This window comes from Homo sapiens, chromosome 2 (genome assembly GCF_000001405.40).
Source record: "Homo sapiens chromosome 2, GRCh38.p14 Primary Assembly".
NCBI classification, from domain to species: domain Eukaryota; kingdom Metazoa; phylum Chordata; class Mammalia; order Primates; family Hominidae; genus Homo; species Homo sapiens.
Window position 1 is genome coordinate 172,423,344 of NC_000002.12, and position 22,612 is coordinate 172,445,955.

The 22,612-nt window shown below is 44.9% G+C and overlaps 1 protein-coding gene across 10 annotated transcripts in view, besides 4 other annotated features; it reads left to right on the top strand.

Annotated features, from left to right (window-relative positions):
* Positions 3,993-22,612, top strand: part of ITGA6 (integrin subunit alpha 6) — a 79,124-nt gene continuing 60,504 nt past the window's right edge. For 5 of the 10 annotated variants that reach the window (XM_017004005.2, XM_017004006.2, NM_001316306.2 and 2 more), the window contains exon 1: positions 3,993-4,127. Coding sequence is in view for 5 of the 10 variants with exons in the window: in NM_001394928.1 (NP_001381857.1) it covers positions 4,446-4,627 (182 nt within the window). In the remaining 5 variants the exon portion in view is untranslated. Of the gene's footprint in view, positions 4,128-4,242; positions 4,628-22,612 lie in introns of those variants that run through there. The other 5 variants (NM_001394928.1, NM_000210.4, NM_001079818.3 and 2 more) reach the window with 1 other exon arrangement.
* Positions 4,191-4,270: a silencer, noted in NCBI's record as "silent region_12110". NCBI's record gives its function as "represses an Ori minimal core promoter by ATAC-STARR-seq in GM12878 lymphoblastoid cells {active_cell/tissue: GM12878}" and the evidence as "EXISTENCE:reporter gene assay evidence [ECO:0000049][PMID:35858748]".
* Positions 5,055-5,555: an enhancer, noted in NCBI's record as "H3K27ac hESC enhancer chr2:173293126-173293626 (GRCh37/hg19 assembly coordinates)". NCBI's record gives its function as "activates a minimal SCP1, AML or CMV promoter by ChIP-STARR-seq in naive H9 embryonic stem cells {active_cell/tissue: H9 hESC(naive)}" and the evidence as "EXISTENCE:reporter gene assay evidence [ECO:0000049][PMID:30033119]".
* Positions 6,980-8,179: an enhancer, noted in NCBI's record as "BRD4-independent group 4 enhancer chr2:173295051-173296250 (GRCh37/hg19 assembly coordinates)". NCBI's record gives its function as "activates an origin of replication core promoter dependent on BRD2, P300/CBP, MED14 and CDK7 cofactors, and independent of BRD4, by STARR-seq in HCT116 cells {active_cell/tissue: HCT116}" and the evidence as "EXISTENCE:reporter gene assay evidence [ECO:0000049][PMID:35650434]".
* Positions 11,439-11,939: an enhancer, noted in NCBI's record as "OCT4-NANOG-H3K27ac hESC enhancer chr2:173299510-173300010 (GRCh37/hg19 assembly coordinates)". NCBI's record gives its function as "activates a minimal SCP1, AML or CMV promoter by ChIP-STARR-seq in primed H9 embryonic stem cells {active_cell/tissue: H9 hESC(primed)}" and the evidence as "EXISTENCE:reporter gene assay evidence [ECO:0000049][PMID:30033119]".

Below are 22,612 nucleotides of genomic sequence, written 5' to 3' on the forward strand. Positions count from 1 at the left end.
TACTAATTCTTAAGAGAAAGCAACTACTGAGGGGTAGATGACATGTTGTTATTTCCGGTTTACAGCTGGGAAAACGGAGACATGGAGAGATTAAATGGCCTTGTGGCTAGCGTGGAGCAGAGGCAGGATCCGTAATAAGGAACTTGGGTTCCAGAGACCATGTGCTACCCACTCTCATGGATGGCCTCACATTAAAGGGCTCCAGGAAATATGTAAAACTGTTGGGATAATGTAACCACAGAAAGAGAATAAAGAGATGTTTTCATTAACTAGTTTCTTGAGACGGAGTCTTGCTCTGTTGCCCAGGCTGGAGTGCAGTGGTGCAATCTCGGCTCAATGCAACCTCTGCCTCCCGGGTTCAAGCGATTCTCCTGCCTCAGCATCCTGAGTAGCTGAAATTACGGCACCTCCACCACGCCCGGCTCATTTTTGTATTTTTAGTAGAGATGGGGTTTCGCCAAGTTGGCCAGGCTGGTCTCGAACTCCTGACTTCAGGTGATCTGCCTGCCTCAGCCTCCAGAAGTGCTGGGATTACAGGCATGAGCCACCACGTCCGGCCTAATAACTAGTTTTTATGTTGCATGAAAAAAGCAAATATATTCTCTGCTGTTAGTGATGATGAAGTCAATATAACAGTGAACATGATAACAAAATGATTAAAGTAGGTCTCAGGGAATGGAAAATATATTAGGTATGACATGGATTCTTCAGACTTCTCCATAAATGACCAATATTCTAAAATTATCTTGAAAGCTCTTCTACAGAGGGTGGGATATAGTACAAATAAATAATTTTATTTTGAAAAGTGTACTGGTAAAACATAAGAATTCAAAAGCTCTCACCTGAGCAAATGCCTCTATGCATAGCTTTCACTGCCTTTTAATTAAAAATGTTCAGTTTATAGAAGTTTCTTCTGTGATGTGTTATTTCGTTTTCTAATCGGCCCTTTTTTTTTTTTTTTAGACACGGTTCTGCCAGTTAACTGGATTTGTAGGGCCCTTCTTGCACTGTGCATGTCTTGTTTTCATAGGCATGTGTGCTAGCACACACACACACATGCCCCATGCCCTATATACTCAGCACACCTTTATCACCAAGCTATCTCTCTCCCTTTGGTTCCAGACAAGTATCTTCCTGTCCCAGATTTTGTTTTCCCCATTAAAACTGTGTACTCCCTCCCCAGGTCTTTAATTTTTAGGGCTCTGAATTCTTTTATTCCTTTGGCCCCAGAGATTGATGTGTCCTCAGTGGATCCAGAATGACCTCTAAACCTCCTTTTTGTAAGACACTTTTGTAAAACACCCAACTCTGTTTTACAATGGAAATAACAACTGAGTCACAAAACTTGATTCTTTTTTTTTTTTGAGTCAGAGTCTTGCTCTGTCACCTAGTCTGGAGTGCAGTGGTGCAATCTTGGCTTACTGCAACCTCTGTCTCCCCATTTCAAGTGAGTCTTGAGCCTTGGCCTCCCGAGTAGCTGGGATTAGAGGTGCCCATCATTAGACCCAGCTAATTTTTGTATTTTTAGTAGAGACGGGGTGGTGGGGTTGGGTGGGGGGGAGTCTCACCATTTTGGCCAGGCTGGTCTCGAACCCTTGACCTCAGGTGATCCTCCCACCTCGCCTCCCAAAGTGCCAGGATTATAGGCGTGAGCCACTGTGCCTGGCCAAAACTTGATGGTTATAGTCAGAAGGAGCTGACAATCTTCAAATAAATTATGTCAAGAGTGAGGGTTTGACTCAACTTCAAGTATCTTCGGCATCTATGTTGAGAGTGAGAGTTTGACTCAACTTCAAGTAGGTAGGAGACAGGTGGCAGGTAGGAGCACTGAGCTAATAAGTTTTCCATTTGCGATGGGCACTTGACATATTCCAGAACAAGACTCCCAGCCTTGTTTTTCTTTATCTGAACCTCTTCCCACACAAGCATAATTTGCTTCAGTAGTGCTATACATGTAGTTGTGATATTTAAATTTAATATTATTTAGAATTTCAATTTGAGCACAATCTGTGTTTGGGATAAAGTAAATAACTCTGGCCATTCATACATCATCCACTAAACACATCTTGGGAAGACAGGAATCAATGGTCCACAGAATTACTCTTAGAAGCAAGGGGTGATATTCAGAATAGTTAACAGCTGGTGTGACATGGGGATATCCAAGCAGAGGGAGCCCTTGCTGCATCAGGGCTTAAGGGCTTAAACTTTCATTTGCCAGGTTGTGAGGAAGTTGCTTAGTCCTAGGAAAATGGGCAGGGCAGGGATGGTTGCCTGTGAGGAACTAAGGGCAGCAGCTTTTATCAACCAATTCAGAATATTTCAGTAACCATTACAGCCAAATCACCAGCTCCTGGCTGAGTACACTCTGCAGTGAGGTTCATTATACTATGCCTATAATAGTCTGGACCCCATCTCTCTGGAATAGTACATATTTTACACGAAGGGAAAAGGCTAACTTGCAACTTATTTGCATGAAAAATCACGTTGCAAGTACTTCTTAGTTTACTAGATTGTCTCCAATAGTTTCTCAACCTTATCAAGATATATTTGTTAAAACTGTGTGCTCTCCAAAATCATCTACTGAATTTAAACCACTGCACCCCACTTTGGACTATAATTGACTGGAGTTACTGATTGGAAAGGAAGTGGTACACACCCCTAATATACTGACGGACTTACTCTGACAGCTGCTACCACCTGTGGGGACCCTTGATGATGTTCACGCAGCTTTTCTGAGTGGCACATGCTGTTCTCTTGAATACTCCTTGAGGTGAAGAAGAGGCCACCCCTACCCCTATGCACACACAGCTCCTGCTCTTTCCTGGGGCTGCACCCTGCTTGTATTTCCAATGCAGGGATGTCAGATTCCAAAGAGGGCTCCCCAAGGCATTCCAGAAGGCTTCAGGCCAGCACGTCCCAACCTTTTCATGCCATGGGACCCCTTTGGCAGGCTGCTGAAAACCATGGGGTTCTTCTCAGAATAAGGGTTTTAAATACATAAAAGAAACCACAAGAGGTTACAAAAAAAGCCAATAATATTGAAATGTAGCTAACAAAATGTTTTTAAAAATTTGTGCTAGAGCAATATATATGCTTCATTATTGACATATAATATCTGGCTGATTGTCTAATAACTACTGTTATTTGAGATACTTGCAACAACTGTGATGTGATGTAAAAACCTATGGTTTCTAGTGATTACTAAGTCATAAATACTTATCCTACTGCTACTGTAGTTTGTTGTCTACGTTCATAATGGCAAAACGTGCTAAATGTCAGAGGTTGGTGAAAATTAAGACGTAAATTTTTTCTCATCCAAGTTCACAGTACTCTTGAATTAATTACCTCTCCTCGGGTTAAGAACCCCTGCAGGATAAGGTTGCCCCTAGGGCCAACACCTCACTGGAGCCCCGCCTCATGTCCTGGAGGCAGGAGCCTTCATGCCACCTACACAGAACTCGGAGCTGTCTCTTGGCCCAGCAGTTCTCCCCACAACTAGTTCTGAAAGTCCGGGGCTAGGAAAGAACGGCATCGTCGCCTGAGCTCCTGGCGCCACTTTAAACAACCCATCCTTGACTTGCGTGACTTCTTCCACAAGCTCTCCTGGTCACCTGGGCAAAATCCTAGGTGATCTGGGGACAAGGCGGAACTTCGGTTTTCTGATCTGCAAAAAGAAACACCTACCTCATAGGACTGTTAGGATGAATTGAGGTAATGGCTGGGTTGTGTACATTATACAGCACTATCAAGGTGTGCGCTGTGATCATTTTTGAGGGTTGTTAGGTGTTTGAGGACCCAGAACAGTCTACACAGCTGTAGTCCCCAAGTGTTGGGCACGCCTTAAGCGCTCCATAAACACCTGTAGAAATGAATGAATGACGTATGCATCTGCACGTGGGCCCACATCTGCAAGAACAGGCTGCTCAGGCCATGAGGCCCGGTGCATCACCTGCACTTCTCTTTATAACGGGTAGTAAAGTCTCCCTCGCTCTGTGCTACTCGGCAACCACAATTCTGTCCACAGAGGGCGGCGCAGTGGGGCTGCTTCGCCGCGAGCTCGCCTCCGGGGCTCCCACGTCGTGGCTTCCGGGCAGGTACCGGGCAGCTGGAGACGCCAGAGCCGGCGGGTAAGGTGCGGGCGGTGCGCCGGGCCGCGGGCGCGCAAGGAGGGGCGAGAGGGTGGGGAGGGGCGGGGCCGGCGTCCTCGTCACTTGATAAAACGCCTGCGAGTCTCCAGAGAACAACGGGCTCATTCAGCGGTCGCGAGCTGCCCGCGAGGGGGAGCGGCCGGACGGAGAGCGCGACCCGTCCCGGGGGTGGGGCCGGGCGCAGCGGCGAGAGGAGGCGAAGGTGGCTGCGGTAGCAGCAGCGCGGCAGCCTCGGACCCAGCCCGGAGCGCAGGGCGGCCGCTGCAGGTCCCCGCTCCCCTCCCCGTGCGTCCGCCCATGGCCGCCGCCGGGCAGCTGTGCTTGCTCTACCTGTCGGCGGGGCTCCTGTCCCGGCTCGGCGCAGCCTTCAACTTGGACACTCGGGAGGACAACGTGATCCGGAAATATGGAGACCCCGGGAGCCTCTTCGGCTTCTCGCTGGCCATGCACTGGCAACTGCAGCCCGAGGACAAGCGGCTGTGAGTTCCCAGACCCTTCCCACCCCCACTGGGGCGCCGGCCTGCGCGCGAGTTGAGGCGAGGGCGCGCCCTGTTCCCGCCGGCCCCGGGGAGTAGTTGGCCCGTGGGTCGCGCCCGGGCCGGCCGAGGCGCACCCAGCGCCCAGCGCGCTCGGCTCCCCGCCCTGACCCGCCCCGCGCGGCGCCTCCCTCCATTCAGCTCGGGAAGGAGGAGAACCCGAGGGCTAGGCTGGGCCCCGGGAGAGTTTACTTTTTTTTCTGTTTTAAACAAAGTGCTTTCCGCCGGTTCTTCCCTCCGGGCGTGTTTGCTGGGACCCCGGCAGGTGGCACGCTTTGCTGAGCTTCACGTGTGTGTTTGGGGCTGGGGTGGCGTTCAGGGTCACCGCAGCGCTGCTGTGGGTTTGCAGGGAGCGTAGTTCCAGGATGGTCTAGGCCTTTCCCAAACTCACGGTGCACCCCGTCTCCCCCGCAGACTGGCGCGCCCCGCACAAGTTGGAAAGCCACTTTCCATGTGTCCTGCATGACTTTCTCAGCAAGGCGGGGGCGCTCCTTAGGAGATACTTTTACATGCCTTTGAAAAAAAAAAAAAAAAAGATGGGGGTGGGGGCGGGAATTAACCAAACACCTGTTCGCTGGACTAGATCAGCTGAGAAAACAAGTCTGAGTGATGTGCCCAGCCCCCAAAGTACTCGGCCGCACCCGAGACCCGCTCGGCTCCTGCGTTGGGCGGGCACAGCCAAGGGGTTAAAGCAAAATGTCCGATCTGAGCCTGGACTTTGCAAACAAGGTTTGTAAGGGACAACCCCCCACCGTAGCGGTAAACCTCCCAGGAGAAAGAGGAGACCGGCACTACTGGCCTCTCCTTTTATTTCTTAAACAGTGTTTGGTTCCCACATGATCGGCTATTTAAGCCGGAGAGGGTATTTTGGCGCTTAGTCGCCTTAATCGCTATGGGGTTGCATTCTTCATCTGTGCTACTGAAAAATAGGCTGTAGCAACAAAAGGTCTCCCCTCCCCACCCAGGCCTTGAGTTGAACTAAGGACCTTCCAGGACCAACAGACCGGAGAAAGCAAAGTGCAGCCACAGTGAAGAGATTTTGTGTTTAGGAGAGGCGAATGGGATTTTAGAACTGGAGGAAACCTCTTGATTTCAGCGGTTAACAACTTTGGAATTCGTGAATGTTGCAGCCCCTGAATTTTAGTCAGTTTTTTTTTTTTTCTGATAACACCTGCTAGGTGAAGCACAGAAATTAGCTGGGGGTGGGGAGGCTCTAGGAGGGTGGTCTGAGGCTATATGCCTGGCCAGCTGCTTATACTCTGCTTTCTCTCAGAAATAATTGTTGTTAAGCTGTAAATCTGAAATGAAAGGTTCCTGTTAACTCAGTTAATAGATGACGTTTATTGTCTCGGAATACTTGGTGTGTAGAATTTGAGCTTGTTAGTGCAGAAATGATTGTGGGCCAGCAGAGGGAATTCATTCTCCTGGGCATTCTCTCTCTGCACCAGAGCCCCACTGAAACCGGTGGCTTCCTTGAAATACTTGTTCAAGCAAAAAGTGTGAAGGGAAAGTACTGGGACAAGAAATATCCTGGCAGTGGAGATTTGCGAAACGTGACTTTGCCAGGAATCTGTGTCGTGAAGGTTAGCAGCATGCTTGCTAAAACTTGTTACTGCTGCTGGGCTTCTCTGGTATTAGAGCTGAGGCAACTCCTCCCGAGGTAAGGATAAGCCTGCAATGGGGTCTGATGCCTTCTAGGAAAGCTCTTCTTAGCAGCTGACAGAGGGGAGAGGCCCCGTATAAGGAGACTGTATGTTTCCTAGAGTCCAAAGGCAGTGACCACACTTTAAAGAGGCTGTGGTTTATGTCACGTGCTGCCCACCTCCATGCTTTTGTAAAGCTTTATTCCAGCTTCAGGAATAGCATTGGTCTTCCCAGGAGAACCAGCACACACAGGCCATAGCACAGGTCAGTTGTCAACCTTTGACAGTAAAGAATGTGGGTGTAAATGGCAGAGCCAGTAAGACTGAGAAAACTTCTGGACCAGCTTCCTAAACTCTATGGAAAAACTCAGTGGGGGTCTTTCAGGGACCTGGTGGGAGAGAGACCTAAGCTGAGATTCCTTCTCGGCCTTTTATTAGCAGCTGTTAATTTACTTTGAGCTTTAATTTCTTTATCTGTAAAATGGAGATATTACTGCTTACTGGGGTTATTATGAGGATTAAGAGATAATATGCAAAGTGCTTAATGCCTGTCTGGCATGGGTACTTGCTGACTAAATGGTAGCTGTTAATGATCATTTAAAAAGCAGTAATTGTGTACCTACTGTGTGTCAGGTACCTTACAAGGTGTCTTAAACATTCTGTGATTCTAAGATTGCCTGAGAGTAAAGCCAAAGGTGGTTGTTTTTGGGTAATGATATTTTAAACTCAGTCATATTTATGAAACCCATGTTCAAAGCAACTTAACTTTAATAGGTCTTAATTAGACTTATAACAAAAGTGAGTTTAATGAACAGAGGACTTTGAGGAAGGAGAAGTAAAATATCAGATGCATGGGACGGTCAGATAAAAGCACGATCATAGAAGACCTATCATAAATGTTTGTAGTTCAAATTTTCTATAGTGCCTTTAACTATTCAGTCACATTTTAAACTCCAGTTATGACTTTTGCAGAATAATATTGTGTCAGAGAGCCCCAAAACATGTCGGGTGTTCCTAAAGCTTTGGAGACTATAAAATTGAAGTAGATACCATAAACTTCATCCAGGTTTTCAGGCTGTATATTAAAGAAGTTTCGGACTCCAAAAGATTACTCAATGGTCAGCCAAGTTGGTCCGCCGAGTGACTGAGGTCAGGGTCTGAGCACCTTGGACTCTTTAATTTCTCTTAGGTAGTTAAGATTGAGTCATTCCCAGAGGTGGAAGGTATGTGATGATGACTGTGGGTATATCCAGCCTATGAATCATCACTCTTAGCTCTTCTGGGAAGAGATGGATCTATATATGATCACAGGGAAGAACCTAGAAGAAGGAGATCTATAAGAGATAGTCTCATGAAGTCATTTTGGATTTCTGCCAACCCTCATTTTCTTCTTTATGGGGTCTCTCTCTCTGACCACCACTGTCTTCCAGAAATGCTCCAGGCCCGCGGTCTGTTCTGTTCTGACCCTTACTAGGTTTGTTCTTGACTTTTCTCAGACTTGTCATGTTCCATCTCTTAAAATCATATTTTCTGAACTAGAGATCATCTAGTCCAACTGCCTCTTTTTACAGATGAAGAAACTGAAGCTGAAAGTTCAGCTTGAGCAGAATCTTAACAGAATGTGGATTTGAATCTCTGACCCATGCTCATGCCATTTTTAAATGGAAAAGCCAGAAATGTTCTTCAGACCTAGAGAAATCGGCAAGCATCTGAATTTTGGAAGTGTACTATATTGTGTTGATTTATCAAACTGCTTCCCATATGCATAGGTCAGGGCTATCTATTTAAATATTGGTGCCTGGACTCTTACTATTGACTCTATTCCAGCTGGCCTTGGAACAAGTTCTGGGTCCGTCCTTCTTTGCCTGCCTCCACCCCATTCCCTTCTGAAAAAGCCCAGTGAAGTGTGGCTGTAGCTAGCCAAGAATCAGAGCTGTATTCAGGATGTGTACCTAAGCACTTGCTTCCTTGCATTTATTCACTCGGAGTGCCATGTGGCCCAGGGCCATCTTCCAGGGATTGCTGGGTCACCTTGAATGCTAAGAGTAGAGAAAAAGCCAAAACGGGCAGCGAGACTTACAGGAAGTCTTAGGACTCTGCAAGAAAGCAGAAATAGGCAAGTTTAATTTTAACACAGGCTGGTGTGAGACCAAGTAATGACAGGGTTGGGGAAAAAAAGGGTCAAAGTATTTATATGGTATAAATAATTTGTTGGGGAAGTCAGGATAAATGCTTATATAAAAGGATTCCTTTATTATAAAGAAGTGGTTATTCTGTGTTCTCAGTTATATAGACTCTCTTAGCATAACAATATATTGAGATTTAATTTAAGCTTTCATAACCAAATAGTACCAGAATTATGGCGCATGGTTTCCTGAAGACCTCGGCTCAACATATTACTGTGGACAGTGAGGCCAGTGAATTATTTGGTATTTTCAAGAGGGACAGTGAGACAAAACAGAAAATACTGTTGTAAGCTTAGATGACAGGGTCAATTGTGCCTGAAACACTGATTTAGTGCTGAATCAGCCCATTTTAAGAATATAATCATAGCTTAAGAACCAGTTTAAAATTTCCCCATCCTACACTAAAGCAATGTCTTTAACTCCTTTGGATGTCTGTAGCACATTGTGTCTGACAATTCTGATGTTTTGTGCTAAACTGTGATCCACTATCTTTAGGACATGATCTAATCTCTCCCAACTGGATTGTAGGTTATGTGAGGGCAGGGGTCTTACATTCATTTCTTTGCCTGCTAGCACCTAGCATATGCCTTGCAAATACAATAGAGACTGATATTATACACTCAGTTTAACCTGTGACATCAACTCTTCCTGCTGAGGGTGGAGAGAGGGAGAAATCCCTTTCTTTAACCCTTTGCCCTTCCTTGCTCAGGCCTTGGTGTCTTCTGCCTCTGAGGAAACGGAATCTGTAAGCTTAGCAAAGAAACGCACAAGACGTTAATTCTTGGTTTTTGATTTTTCAAAGGCGGGGGGTTCCAGCTAAGGGATTTTCATGAGTGTTTGTAAATTTCACCTGGCTTTTGCCCTAAAGGCAGACTTTAGAACCTAACCCCAGAAATACAGGCTGACCTACACTGCAGTGGGTACTCGGGACTTGCTGAGGTGGTTGGTTGTTATGAGGCTGGACAGAGAAGGATGACTGTGGAATAGAGATCTTTCTGAAAGCAACTTGACAGGGGTGTGGGGGTCAAATGGAAGTGTGCAGTACACGTGTGAAGTCACTTGTGAATTGATAGCGGCAGGTTTATTTCTTCAAGGATAGTAAGGGAATCTTGGATATATTTAACTCTTTCGGTAGGATGGTGGGAAGGCTGCTTACCTGCTCCGGGGGTGAGCCTAGGAGCCATAGCATGGGATCTGGGGATCTGTGTAGCACCCCCGCTGGCTCCTGGGAGGATGGTAAAGATTACGTACTGCAGCAGTGGGAAGTGGACGTAGTCTCAGCCCCCGGTGCCCATCTTCCCTTTCTGGGCTTGGGTACAACTCTGGAATCAAATAACTTTATATCTGGAAGGAAGCTTAGGGGTTCTGAAACCTGGCTGGTCTTCAGGGTAACTACTTGGGCAACCTTTTATAAAAGTGTGATTCTCAGCCCAGCCTAGATCTGTTACGTCAGTTTCCATAAGTGTGCTCCAAGAAGCTGTTCTTAAAGTCTTCTTCGTTTGAGTCAGACTAGCTTTTCTCCTTTACACAGAAGGCAGAGTGTAATGTAGTGACTAAGAGCAGAGCCTAGAGCCAGGTAGGATCAAACCCTTTTCTGCCATTGACTAGCTATGATTTTGTGCAGGATTCCTAACCTTCCTAGGCCTTCCTGCCTTCAGCTGTGAAGCTAGTATCCTCGCACATTAGAATAGTCCTGGTCCAGAGTGAGCATTTTGTGTTTGTTAAATAGATGAGGAAACCAAGGCTGTAAGAGGTGCAGTGGTGGCGGCATGTCTAGCAAACTTGGTCTTCAATCTGCATCTTCCCTGCTTCCCGGCCTGTGCTGTGTATGTGCTTTCTCCTTTTAGGTTTGGTTTTCATCACGTTTAAAGGTTTGGTTTTCATCACATTCTCCCTTTCTTCCATTCCACTCTCCAGTTGAAAAGTGCATCTCAGAAGAGCCATGCCTTCTACTTAGCAGCCCTTCGTAGCTACTAAGCCATAGATAAATCCCAGTGAGGTCTCAGTGTTCAGAGATGAGTGGACAGATGGGTGCATAGACATGACGGGGCAGTGACTGTGAGCTGGATACCCATGGAGGGTGGGTGGTGCAGTTATAGGTTGGGCTTACTGCTAAGGAATACCACCTGTCTGGTTTCCAGGCCTTCTTAGACCTCTATGACCTTGAAAGCACCCCCACACCTCCATCCCTAGGAGGCTGGATAACTTGCACAACACCCAGGGCAGGTTTGAAAACGATTTATTTTTCTTAGTTTTTTGCTTGGCACTAATGTTTGCTAGGAAGGAGCTTGTGGATTATTGATGACAAAACTGCCTAAGGTTGGAAAGTATGTGGGCAAATATGGAAGTAGTGTTTCCTTCACAGGTTTGTTAAACTGGCATTTAGATTTGCAAACACTGATCTCTTGGAATTAAGTTAAAAGGCTAATTGTTAATTAGCCCTGAACTGGGGCAGGTAGATGGGCCTCTCACCAGTGCAGGTCCCTGTCAACTAATAACAGGGTTTGATAACCACCATCAAATCTGCTATCTGGCTTTTCTGCTTAGATAAACAAGGCAAGACGATCTCAAACCAGCATACCGATTCCGAGGTTGGCATGTTTGTAGAAGACTGTTCTCAGGCCGCAGTGTGGCAGCAGACCCTCCCCAGTTCAGCCCCATGCCAGATTCCAACGTTGGATCCCACTGTCGCTTCATCTCATCCTAAATTGGCAGAAAGACTGTTTAGAAAACTAAGTCTCTAAAACCAATTAAATGGTAAAGAAGACTGTTCTGAATTAGGGGGAATGGGATGAAGTACCACTAAACGCAAGTCACAAAGGGCAAAAACTCATGACATGGAGCCGTGGGTATCTGCTTGCATGTTTATTTGCCAAGCGGCTAGTATATTTTGCATGTCATACAATCTGAAACTTACTTTTTTGAAAAGCCATTTCAGATATAGTATAAGAAAAGCCTTTGAGAGAAACATGCTTTCTAAGCCTGGGAGTACAGAAATAAAAATAAACTTTGCAATAATTTGAAAGGGGCACACTGGTTAGTTGAAGAGTAAGGAAGCACCCAGTAATGCCTCTTTACCCAAGAGCTCTGTTTGCTTTGCTCGGTGATATCAATGTCACTGTGGTTTCTTCATTTTGAAAAGGAAGTTCATTTGTACTGAGGTGGTTTTAAGTGTGTGTGTGTGTGTGTGTGTGTGTGTGTGTATGATGCAAATGATAATAAACATTTCAGACCCAGAGGGCAGAATGTCACTGAACCTAAGCCCTCCTGAGCCAAATAACTCCTTTGTCCTTGCAGAATCAGGAGCCCTTCTCTTCAGGATATGCTGCCATTATGATAAAGCATTGTGATGTAAAGTTAACGAGAGGATCCTTATCCAAGTGAATCACAGCCAAGGGGTGGAATGGTTGGCCTCTGGTAGGGATGCCCCATTCAGCAGCACTGAGAGTTTGGAGTTGTTCTGTTCTCTTTCCTTCTTGCTGAGGGTAGTAAGAAATCCTCCCTAGGCCCCATTCCCCTGATATATCTTGCGGGTGATGGCCTCTTACTGGCAGTGTGATTATGTATGTCCCTTTAGAACAAAGGTATCGAAACAATAAAAGTTGTGAAATGGAAATGTTTACAATTCTACAAGGCTCCAGAGAGATTAGAGATAGGTAGGAAAAAGGCCATTGTTTTCCAATCAAAGGTGCTGAGAACCTGTTGATTGGACCTAAGGAATCCAGCTTTGCCACGACACAAAACCCAAGAGTTTTGTTTCTTTTTTTTTTTTTTTTTTTTTTTTGTTGAGACAGAGTCTCACTCTGTTTGCCCAAGCTGGAGTGTAGCGATGCGATTTCAGCTCACTGCAGCCTTGACCTCCTTGGGCTTAGGCAATCCTCCCACCTCTGCCTCCCCAGTAGCTGGGACTGCAAGTGTGCAGCACCACACCCAGCAATTTTTTTGTGTTTTTAGTAGAGTCAGAATGCTACCATGTTGGCCAGGCTGGTCTCGAACTCCTGGATTCAGGCAATCAGCCTGGCTTGGCCTCCCAAAGTGTTGAGATTACAAGCGTGAGCCACCATGCCCAGCCCCAAGAGTTTTCAAAAAAGGAAGAGTTCAAAGAGGCTCAGAAATGATCAAGTGGACATACAGAGACATAATTTTAGGAAAGGGATATTATTAATATTTGCCAGTGAGTCCTCGTTACTGCTGGTGAGACTAGGCCCAGGTACCGACTTAAGGCGATACTTTGAAAAAGTTGAGAGGTGGCTTAAAGACCTGGGTGATGAATGAAGAAGACCTCCATGACTTTACAAGTGCAAAGAGAGATGGGTCTGGGCACTGCTGGGCCTTTTAGAGGCTCAAGGACAGTGGCCTTGGGGAAGGCTGAAGGAGACACCTATTGAATTAGATGGTGCCAAGGCTGAGGGAGGACTTTCGGGAATCCCAGACTAGAGAAGTGTTTTAATGCCAAGAACATGGGAAACCCATTTCAGATACTGTATCAGATAAGCCAGCTTAGAAAAGCACCTTCTAAGGCTTGCCCTATATTTAGAAAGGGCTGCTACAGAGGTTAACTGAGAAGGGGTTGTAGGAATGTGGAGAGGCGTTGTGAGGATCCTCATTCAGGATGATCTGGGAGGTAAGCTCTGAGAGACAATGATACCTCTCCCCAAGCTTAGCAGCCATGCCAGAAGCCAGCTGAGAAGGTTTTTCAATATCATAGAATATGTAAGCTCTGTAAGCTCATTTATTTCTCTCTGTGTGTGTACATGTTTTAACCCAAAAGAAATAGGGATTTTTGTCTGTATTCGAACATGCAGGGAATGTGGTCTGGACCTGCCAGAGAAACCGTGGCCAGCTTTTTGGGGTTTTCCTATAGAAATTGTTCATTCAACAGATATTCACTGAGTATTTACTATGTATTTGGCACTGTTCTAGTGCTGGGGCTACAGCAGCAAACAAAATAGACAAAATCCCTGCCTATGTTCTGATCGGGGAGACAAACCATAAACAAAAAGGTGTATTATGTTAGATAGTAATAATTAATGCAGAAGTGTTAATGCAAGAGAGGGGAGAATGGTTGATGTGATCTGCAAAAATATAAAGTAGAGAGGGAACAGGGAGTGCAGATGGGGAGGGAAGTGGTCAGCAGTAGGGCTGCCTGGGAAGACTTTGCTGAGAAGGTGAAGCTGCATTCCTGGCAGAGAGAATGGCAAACACAAAGGCCCTGAGGCAGAAGCATGTTCAGGCAAAGCAGTGAGTCTCCTTGGAGGCAGATTGTATAGGGCCTTATGGATCATCGAATGACTGGCTTTTACTCATGAATGAGATGGGGAGCATTTGTAGGTTCTGAGAAGAGTAGGACATGTCCTCACTTGGATTTTAAATGGATTTCTCTGGCCTGCAGCCTTGAGAGTAGACTGTATGAGGACAAAGATAGAAGTAATGATACTGACTAGGAGGCTCCTGTAATAAACAGATAAGAGATGGTGATTTGGACCAATGTGGCAGCAATGAATATAGTAAAAAGTGCTTGGATTCAGGATATGTCTTGAAAGTAGAGTCAACAGGATTTCCTGGGGACTAGGTATCAGTTGGGACAGACAGAGTAGAGAAGAATGTGTCCAAAGTTTTTGACCTGAGCAGCTGGAAGGATGGAGTTGTATTATGGTTTGGGGAGAGATGTGAGAGTAATAGATTTTGGGGGCAGGGCAGGAGTATGGTTTTAGATATGTCAGGTTTGGAGTGTCTAGACAGCCAAGTGAGTTATTTAGGCAGTTGAGTAAGCAGCTGAGTCAATTAAAAAAATTGAATTTAAAAGCCTGAAGTTCAGTTGGAAAGGTTTGATTGGTGATGCAAGTAGAGGAGCCTCTAGGTTGTGTTTAGAATGATGAACTGATGAGGGCACCAAGGACGGGGATGGAGGCCTGAGCCCTATGGTGTTCTTACACATGGAGGTTAGGGAGAGCCCTGGAGACTGACACCCATGGCAGGAGGAGAGGGAGGGAGTGTGTGGTCCTGGAAACCACATGATGGGGTTTCAAAGAGGAAGTGAAAGATCAGTTATATCAAATGACACTTACTGAGATTTGATCGCTAGATTGGCAATGTAGAAGCCACTGGTGACCTTGTGAGAGCACTGATGGGGAGGAGTGGGAGCAATGCCTAATTGGAGTGGGTTTGTGAGAGAACAGGAGAGAAGGAATTGGAGACCATAGGAACTCTTGAGGGGTTTTGCTGTAGAGGGGAGCAGAGCCATGGCAACAACTGTAAGGGGAAATAGTGGGTTTTTGTTTCGTTTTGTTTAAGATGGGAGAAGATTATAGTGAGCTGGTTTGATGAAGATGATTCAGTCAAAAAGGAAAAGTTAATGCAAGAGAGGGGAGAACTGTTGGTGTGACCTCACCAACTGAGTAGGTGAGAGGACGTACCGTGGGGGAGGTGGCCTGATGACTGGAGCAAGGGTAGCTCATCACAGTTATGAGGAAGAAAGGTCGGATGAGGGGCACAGATGCAGGTAGGTGGCTAATTATCCTGGTGGAAGGGCATGGGGTTTTTCCATTGCTTCTAATTTCTCAGTGAATAATAATAAGTCATTAGCCCTAAGTTACTCAGTAGTTGTGTAAAAGTTTGCCTCATTAGGAGTAAGAACTTCACTGAGGCAGATGGATGTGGATTTGAATCCCAGCTCCTTTACATTCTGTTGATTTTGACATTGGACAAATTACTTATCTTCATTGGTCAAATGAAGGTACTAATAGCACCTACCTCAGAGGGTTGTGAACATTAAAGGTGAGGATAAAGCACTTAGCAGAGTGCCCGGCATATCCAATCAACATCAGCCTTTACTGTTAGGGTCCCTTAAAGTAAAATATGAACATAATTCCCTCACACTGGGGAGTTTTTGTAGCTCTCTTATCTTTTCAGTCTGGTGGACAGCAGAGGTTACCCTTTGGGGGCCAGGTCAAAGGTTAAGTTTCCCTATGGAAGACTACAACTGGAGGGCAGTCCACAGGCCGCCATGAAGTATACATTGTTTTGATGAAGACAGGAAGGGGAAATATGGGACTTGGAAGAAGGAAGAGAAGATGGCAGCATGTCAAAACTCTTTGGCAATCTGCAGACCTTTGTGCTATATTTGAGCTACAGAGAACCACGACTTTTTATTTTGAGTTCTTACAAGACTCATTTTAGGTGTGGAGAGAGCTCTTCCCATGTGGGTCTGCAGCTCTAGAATTGGGTAGTGCCTTGGATGGCACAGTCCTGGTGTATCCTGCAGGCTGAGTGGACAGGAGGGCGTTGACTGGGTGTGTGTGATACAGGGTGGAAGCCAGCTCCGAGAACGCAGCAGGAGAGCCAAGGCTGTGCTTCCTGTTCCTGCTGGCCTGGTTGATTTGTCTTTGTAATCCTAGTCAATGCATCCAGCGTCTCAGTGCATATATTGAATAAAAAATGACGAATGGCCTTGTTGAATTGTCAGGAGTGTAGAAAATGAGGCTCAATCAGCACTTTGGGTTCTAAAATACTGTCGTTTTTCAATCTCTTCTTTCAAGATTATTGGTATAGACCTTGAGGGAAATCTGAGTTCAAAAGGAAATAGAATATCTTTGGAATTTTGCAAAAGTGTGAGTCATCAGGACTTGAGCATACATTCCCCTGGTGTGCTGCAAATCAGATATGAAACATCTTCCTGAGGTGGCATGGTGGTGGTATAAAAGCTTCATTATAGTACAGAATGAAGTGTGTACTTATATAAAACACAAGTCTTCGAAGACATTGCAAGCTTTTGGTGGTTGCTTTGCACTGTGCCTCTGTACATGTTCACCTGCCTCTGTCATTCAGTGCTTTTGTGAAAATGGCTGGGAAGCATTGACCAGCTCAACCTTTTCTCTCTAGAAGGAAGACTGAGACCCAGAAAAGTCAAGTGACAGCTAGTCAGTGGTAATGTGGGCCCTGAAACCTAGCTGCCCAGTGCCCAGTCCACCTGATGGTATGCCATACACATCTTCCGTTTGGTGAAATAGCCCATTCTTGGAGTTAAACTTGTGCCACATAAATCTTGCCCTTAATAGAACAGTATCTTGGGTTTTTAAATGTCCCCTACATAGTGGGCTGGGAGAGATAGAAAATACAGCCACTGTCACCCCTTCCCCTGCTTACTAGGGCACTCCAAATGACCATAGCACATTTTTTCAGTGGAGTCTCAGAATTCTTCAGGTCAACATTGGTCAGCCTTCACTGTTGTGTGGGTGTTTGCAAATAAGACAGCACCTGTTTGCCCTCCTGGCCTTGCTAAATCCCGTGCATATGGAAGGCACCCTATAAATGTATGCCTGATGGATATGAGTCCTGTTGGTTTGTGAGCTTCTTAAGAACAAGGCTGACATCTTGTTCAGTTTTGGTTCAAATCTAATACATAGAAATGGATATTCAGTAGGTATTTGTTGAACTCTTTGATTCCCCAAATACACTAAAGGCTTTTAGAGAACAGGAACCAGGGTAAACATTTCTTTAGAATGATCTTTTACATGCTGGTACTTTGAAAAAAAATTGTGGTAAAATATACATAACATAAAATTTATTTTAACCATTTTAAAGTGTATGATTCAGTATTGTTAAGTATATTCACATCATTTCTTGCCCGGAAATGATGTTGTTTCATATTATGAGGCCATAAAGTATTGATAAGCTAAACAAACTTTAACTCAATATATGATTGTGCTGTATCATTTAGTACTATATTCTAATGTGTATTAGTGGCAATGAAATTTAAAGTTTAACATATTTATGGTACAAGTTGAAATTTAGTCTCTTAGCTTATTATGTGTTTTTCCAATCCGGTTAAGGACTGCTATGAGTTGAATTCAGCAGTTGTATACCTGGCACCAACAGCCTTTGAGAAACCAAGTAATTTAAGTTTTTAATTGAGTAACAGAAAATTGCAACTAATAAAATGCCTGGCTATATTAGCTTATTTGTCATTTATATGTTGTTAGTACTCCTTAACTCTTGGTAGCTTTAAGATGAAACCAAGAGTGGTTTCAGTTGCATTCTGTGTTCTGATTGAAGCTGAGGCTTGATTTGTGGCTTGAAGTTTGAAAGGAAGTGCCTGTTTGTTCAGGGAACACCAATTGGACTAACAGCTGTCCTCTGTATTAAGGCCATCTTTAGCTTGTCTTGCAAATACTTTCCTTGTTCACTAATCCCTTCTCCCCACCCTGCTTCCTTTAGACCCATGTTAATCTATTACCTGGGAGCAGCTCTAGATTCTTGAGTTGGTAATGACTAATTTCTCCGTTGCTCTCATCCTGTTGAGTTTAATAGGCTCTCTTTTTTCTTACTGATGTTTTCATGATGAGATTTCTAATAAGTTATTTGGGAGCTATCAGAATAGAAACTAATAAATATTATCTATCTATTAGCTGTCAGAATAAAAGCTTACTGAGGGTCCTGAACTGTGAGGCCACTGAAGGCAGGGGTTTGGGTCTGATTTATCTGTGTTTGCCTAGAGCTTTAACAGAGCCTGACACTTGTAACTCTTAAAAATATGCTTTAAAATAAATCTAAACTCAGGCATGGTGGCTCATGCCAGTGATCCCAGCACTTTGGAAGGCTGAGGTGGGAGGAAGGCCTGAGCCTAGGAACTCAAGGTGAGAGTGAGCTATGATTGTGTCACTGCACTCCAGCCTGGGTAACAGAGTGGAGACGCTGTCTCTTTAAAAAAAAAAAAAAAAAAAAAAAAAAAAAAAAAAAATCAAACCTCAGTGCATAAGACACAGGTGTTTTCATCTGTGAACGAGAGTAGACACATTCTAGTAATACCCAATGTTTTTGTGAATTTCTTTACAATTGAAACTATTTTCCACTTGTAGAAGTTGGGAAGGAACTTGGGGAATGGCCTGGAAAGGTAGACCACCATCCTCATTTCATAGAACAAGAAATGGAGACCTAGGATTTGTCATAGTCCTGCAGCCAGCTACAGACAGAGCTGTGCCTACAATTCCCTTCTTGTCCTGAGTTGTTTCTGCTTCATTTCCCACTAGAACCCCATCCCGCCCTCACCCCTAAGCAGAGGTCCAGCTAGCTAATGTGTCTGTTTTTATAAAATGCCACCAGAAGCTTAAGTACGTCGGTTCGTGTCCCATCAAACTTGTCCAGATCTCTTTCTCATCATAGAGAGGTACCATCCTGAGTTGCTCAGATGATAAACATTTCTCCATTAGAAACTAGGCTCGGATTTGCCTGTGGCCACAAATCCAGAAGCAGCTGTGTGTTCCCCATGTTTCTCACCAACCCCTGCGTCATGTTTCTGAATAAGGAGTCCTGGTTACCGCCACACCCCTCATTCATTGCTTTAGATTAGATGAAAGGCGAGGTGCCTGACTCAGGCCACTGACTCACTCTGCTTGGGTGAACCCAGCTCCTCCCGGTAGGAAGTGATTGCCCCAGGCAGGTTGAGGAGTGCCCACAGCATCCAGGACTAAAGCATTTGGACCCTGCAGCTATTTATAAACAGCACTTTACAGTGCTTTCAGTCTGAATATTGGGACTCCCCTAGAAAGGACAGATTCAGTCCTTTCTGAAAGGAGGATAGACGAAGGGTGAGGAGTTCTTGTTGGATGTATTTTCATAGCTGAAAGGTTCCCCTGAATGCTGTCAGTGCCATGGATGTTCATAGGGAAGGTTAGAGTTCCTGTCTCTGATGTCATTCATTTTATGCTGCAGCTCACTTGACTGTGGGACTCCCTAGGAAAGCTTATCTACCTTTTCAGCTGTTGCACCTCTTTTCTTCCATGTAGTTTGCCCTCTGCCTTACATTCACTCTTCATTGTAATGCCCCAGTTGCCAGCACAGTGCCTGGCGCACAGTAGGTACGTGTTTGTGAGCTTGCTTTACTGATGTGTTGTCATGCCTCTGGAACGGGCTGTAAAAATCAATCTTTGACTCTTTGCCAGCAACTGCCCACATAAAGAGAGCATGTGTGAGCTTGTTTTATGCAATTACAAGGTTTGCTTCATGACTTGTGGGCGCTGATTTTTTTTTTTTAACCTCACTATCTCCATCATTTTCTCTGCAAGATTTTCAGTGACCCTCGTGTCCATGGACTGACCTCCATTTTTAAAATTTCATTTTTAATTTATTTTTGAATAGGTAGTACAGTCACATGGTACAAATATTAAAACTACAAAGATGGAATGAAAGTCAGCCTCCCACCCTTGATCTCTGGGCATCCTATTCTTCCTGGAGGCAACCATTGTTTTACCAGCTTACTGTGAATCTTTCAGAGCTACCTATACATTTACAAGCAAATATGTACATAGATTTTTTTTACCCATTTGCCATGTAGATTCTTTTGCACCTTGCTCTTTTTCTCTTGGTATGTTTTAATGCCTGTTCAATCTTGTAAATAAAGAGCTTCCTTATTATTTTTAATCTCTGCATAATACTCAGTTTCGAGGATGAACTATGATTTATTTAACCAGTCTGGGTATTCAGATAATTTCTAATCCTTCGCCGTTAAAAGCAGTGCTGCAGTGAAGAACTTTATGCTTCCCTCATTTCACCTTAAATGAATTAATTTAAGGTGAATTAATTAATTCCTAGTGCAGAGTGGCCTGGCCGGCGTTGTTGTTTTAATGGTCACGGCTGATTCTGGAGGAGTGGCTGCCCTCATTCCTTTCTATCCTAACCATCTGATAGGACCACAGGCTACGCTATCAGTGGGTTTAGTAGAGTCTTTTCAACAATCGAGTTTCCAGCCTTATGCCCAAGCTGTTGGATCCCTGAAGGCTTCAATGTTTGTGTCCTAGCTGTACTTTATGCTTGTTAAAATGTATGTGTTAAAATTAGAATGGCTTGTTGGAATGTGTAAGATTGCGTATAGTGTTTCATGTTTTATCACTGTGTTGAGTTTACAAAGTTACTTGATGTTATTTCTTTTTTCTTTTTTGAGGCAGGGTCTCACGCTTTCGCCCAGGCTGGAGTACGAGTGGTGCACTCACGGGTTACTGCAGCCTCAACCTCCTGGGCTCAGGTGATCCTCCCGCCTCGGCCTCCCGAGTACCTGGGACTACTGGCATGCACTACCACGCCTGGCTAATCTTTGTATTTTTTGTAAATATGAGGTTTCACCATGTTGTTCAGGCTGGTCTCAAATTCCTGGGCTCAAGTGATCCTCCCACCTTGGCCCCCAAAGTTCTGGGATTACAGGAGTGAGCCACCATGCCTGGCCCATCGTTTCATTTGATCCTTGCAACACCCTATGAGAATATTTAGATAGAACGATTTCACAGATAATCCATAGTGATACTCAGCTAACGGGTGGTACTGCCAAGACTTGAACCCACCATTCTTGTAACTTCCTTGATATCTCTAATTATGGTTTTGGTCTGCCAGTTTGTTATGGAGCAGAAAAGAAGATGTAAGCTTTCTGGAGGTAGTAGCTGCTACAGGCATACACTATATTATCTCAGCAATAGCAAGTCCAAGTAGGACTGATTCAGTATACACAAAGAAGTATTAGTTGCTAAAATATTGAAATAACTTTCATTCTGGTTGGTGCACGTTGAGTATCCCAAATATGAACAACCAAAATCTGAAATGCTCCAAAGCTGGAAACTTTTTGAGTGTTTTTGAGTGCCTGCCAACATGACATGCAAGAGAAACATTCATTGGAGCATTTCGGATTTTGGATTTTTAGATTTGGGATGCTCAGTAAGTATTAATGCAAATATTCCAAAATCCCCGCCCCCCGCCCCCCGCCAAAAAAAACCAAAAACCCAAAACACTTGTAGTCCCAAGCATTTCAGAAAAATGATACTCAACCTGTAAATAGCTTTGCCCCAAACCCCCCTGAGTTTCTTTCTCTACTTCCCTGGCCAGTTTTCACATAGGAACCCCCCTAATCGCCACGTATTTCCCCCCCACAACCCAGCAATAAAGGGGAAATGCCCTCATAAGCGAGGAGCCCCTGGATTGTAGCTCCCGTGCTATGGCCACCATCTGTGCTCGCTAATTGGTTCCCAAGCCATACTGGTCCCTAAATATTCTTAAATCTGTAAGTGCAGGAATGGAGTATTAAACAATGTAAGCGTTTAGGCATATAACTTGATTTCTGTAGGTTTTGTTTGTTTTGTTTTGTTTTGAGAGAGAGTCTTGCTGTCACCCAGGCTGGAGTGCAGTGGCGGGCTCTTGGCTTACTGCAACCTCTGCCTCTCAGGTTCAAGTGATTCTGCTGTCTCAGCCTCCCAAGTAGCTGGGACTACAGGCGCCCACCACCATGCCTGGCTAATTTTTTTGTATTTTTAGTAGAGACAGGGTTTTGCTATGTTGGCCAGGCTGGTTTGAACTTCTGACCTCAAGCGACTGCCCGCCTCAGCCTCCCAAACTGCTGAGATTACAGGCATGAGCCACTGTGCCCGGCTGGTATTTATACTTTGTAAATTGCCTTTGTTGTTCTTAGTATCCTATTTCTAAATCTGTTGTCTTTTTCTTTTCTTTTTTTTTTTTTAACAAAAAAAAAAAAAGGCCGGGCGCGGTGGCTCACGCCTGTAATCCCAGCACTTTGGGAGACCGAGGCGGGCAGATCACGAGGTCAGGAGATCGAGACCATCCTGGCTAACACGGTGAAACCCCGTCTCTACAAAAAATACAAAAAATTAGCCGGGCATGGTGGTGGGCGCCTGTAGTCCCAGCTACTCGGGAAGCTGAGGCAGGAGAATGGCCTGAACCCGGGAGGCGGAGCTTGCAGTGAGCTGAGATTGCGCCACTGCTCTCCAGTCTGGGCGACAGAGTGAGACTCCGTCTTTTTTAAAAAAAAAAAAAAGAAAAAAAAAAGCCTGAAAGACCTCTTTTGGTTTTGCTTTTTGCTTTGTCTTTGTCTTCCCGGCCTCTAAAAATCTGGGTAGCTGGTCTGAGGTGTTGGGACCCAGGACTTGCTCTCTTATTGCTCCACCACTGGAGCCTCAACCTCAAACTCAAGGTGGTGGCACCTACATTCCAGGCAGCTGAAGAAAGGAGCAAAGAACAGAGCCAAAGGCACATGCATGCCATCTTCTAAGGAAAATTATTGGAAGCAGCAGTGTGATGCTTTGTCACACGTCCTATTCAGCAGA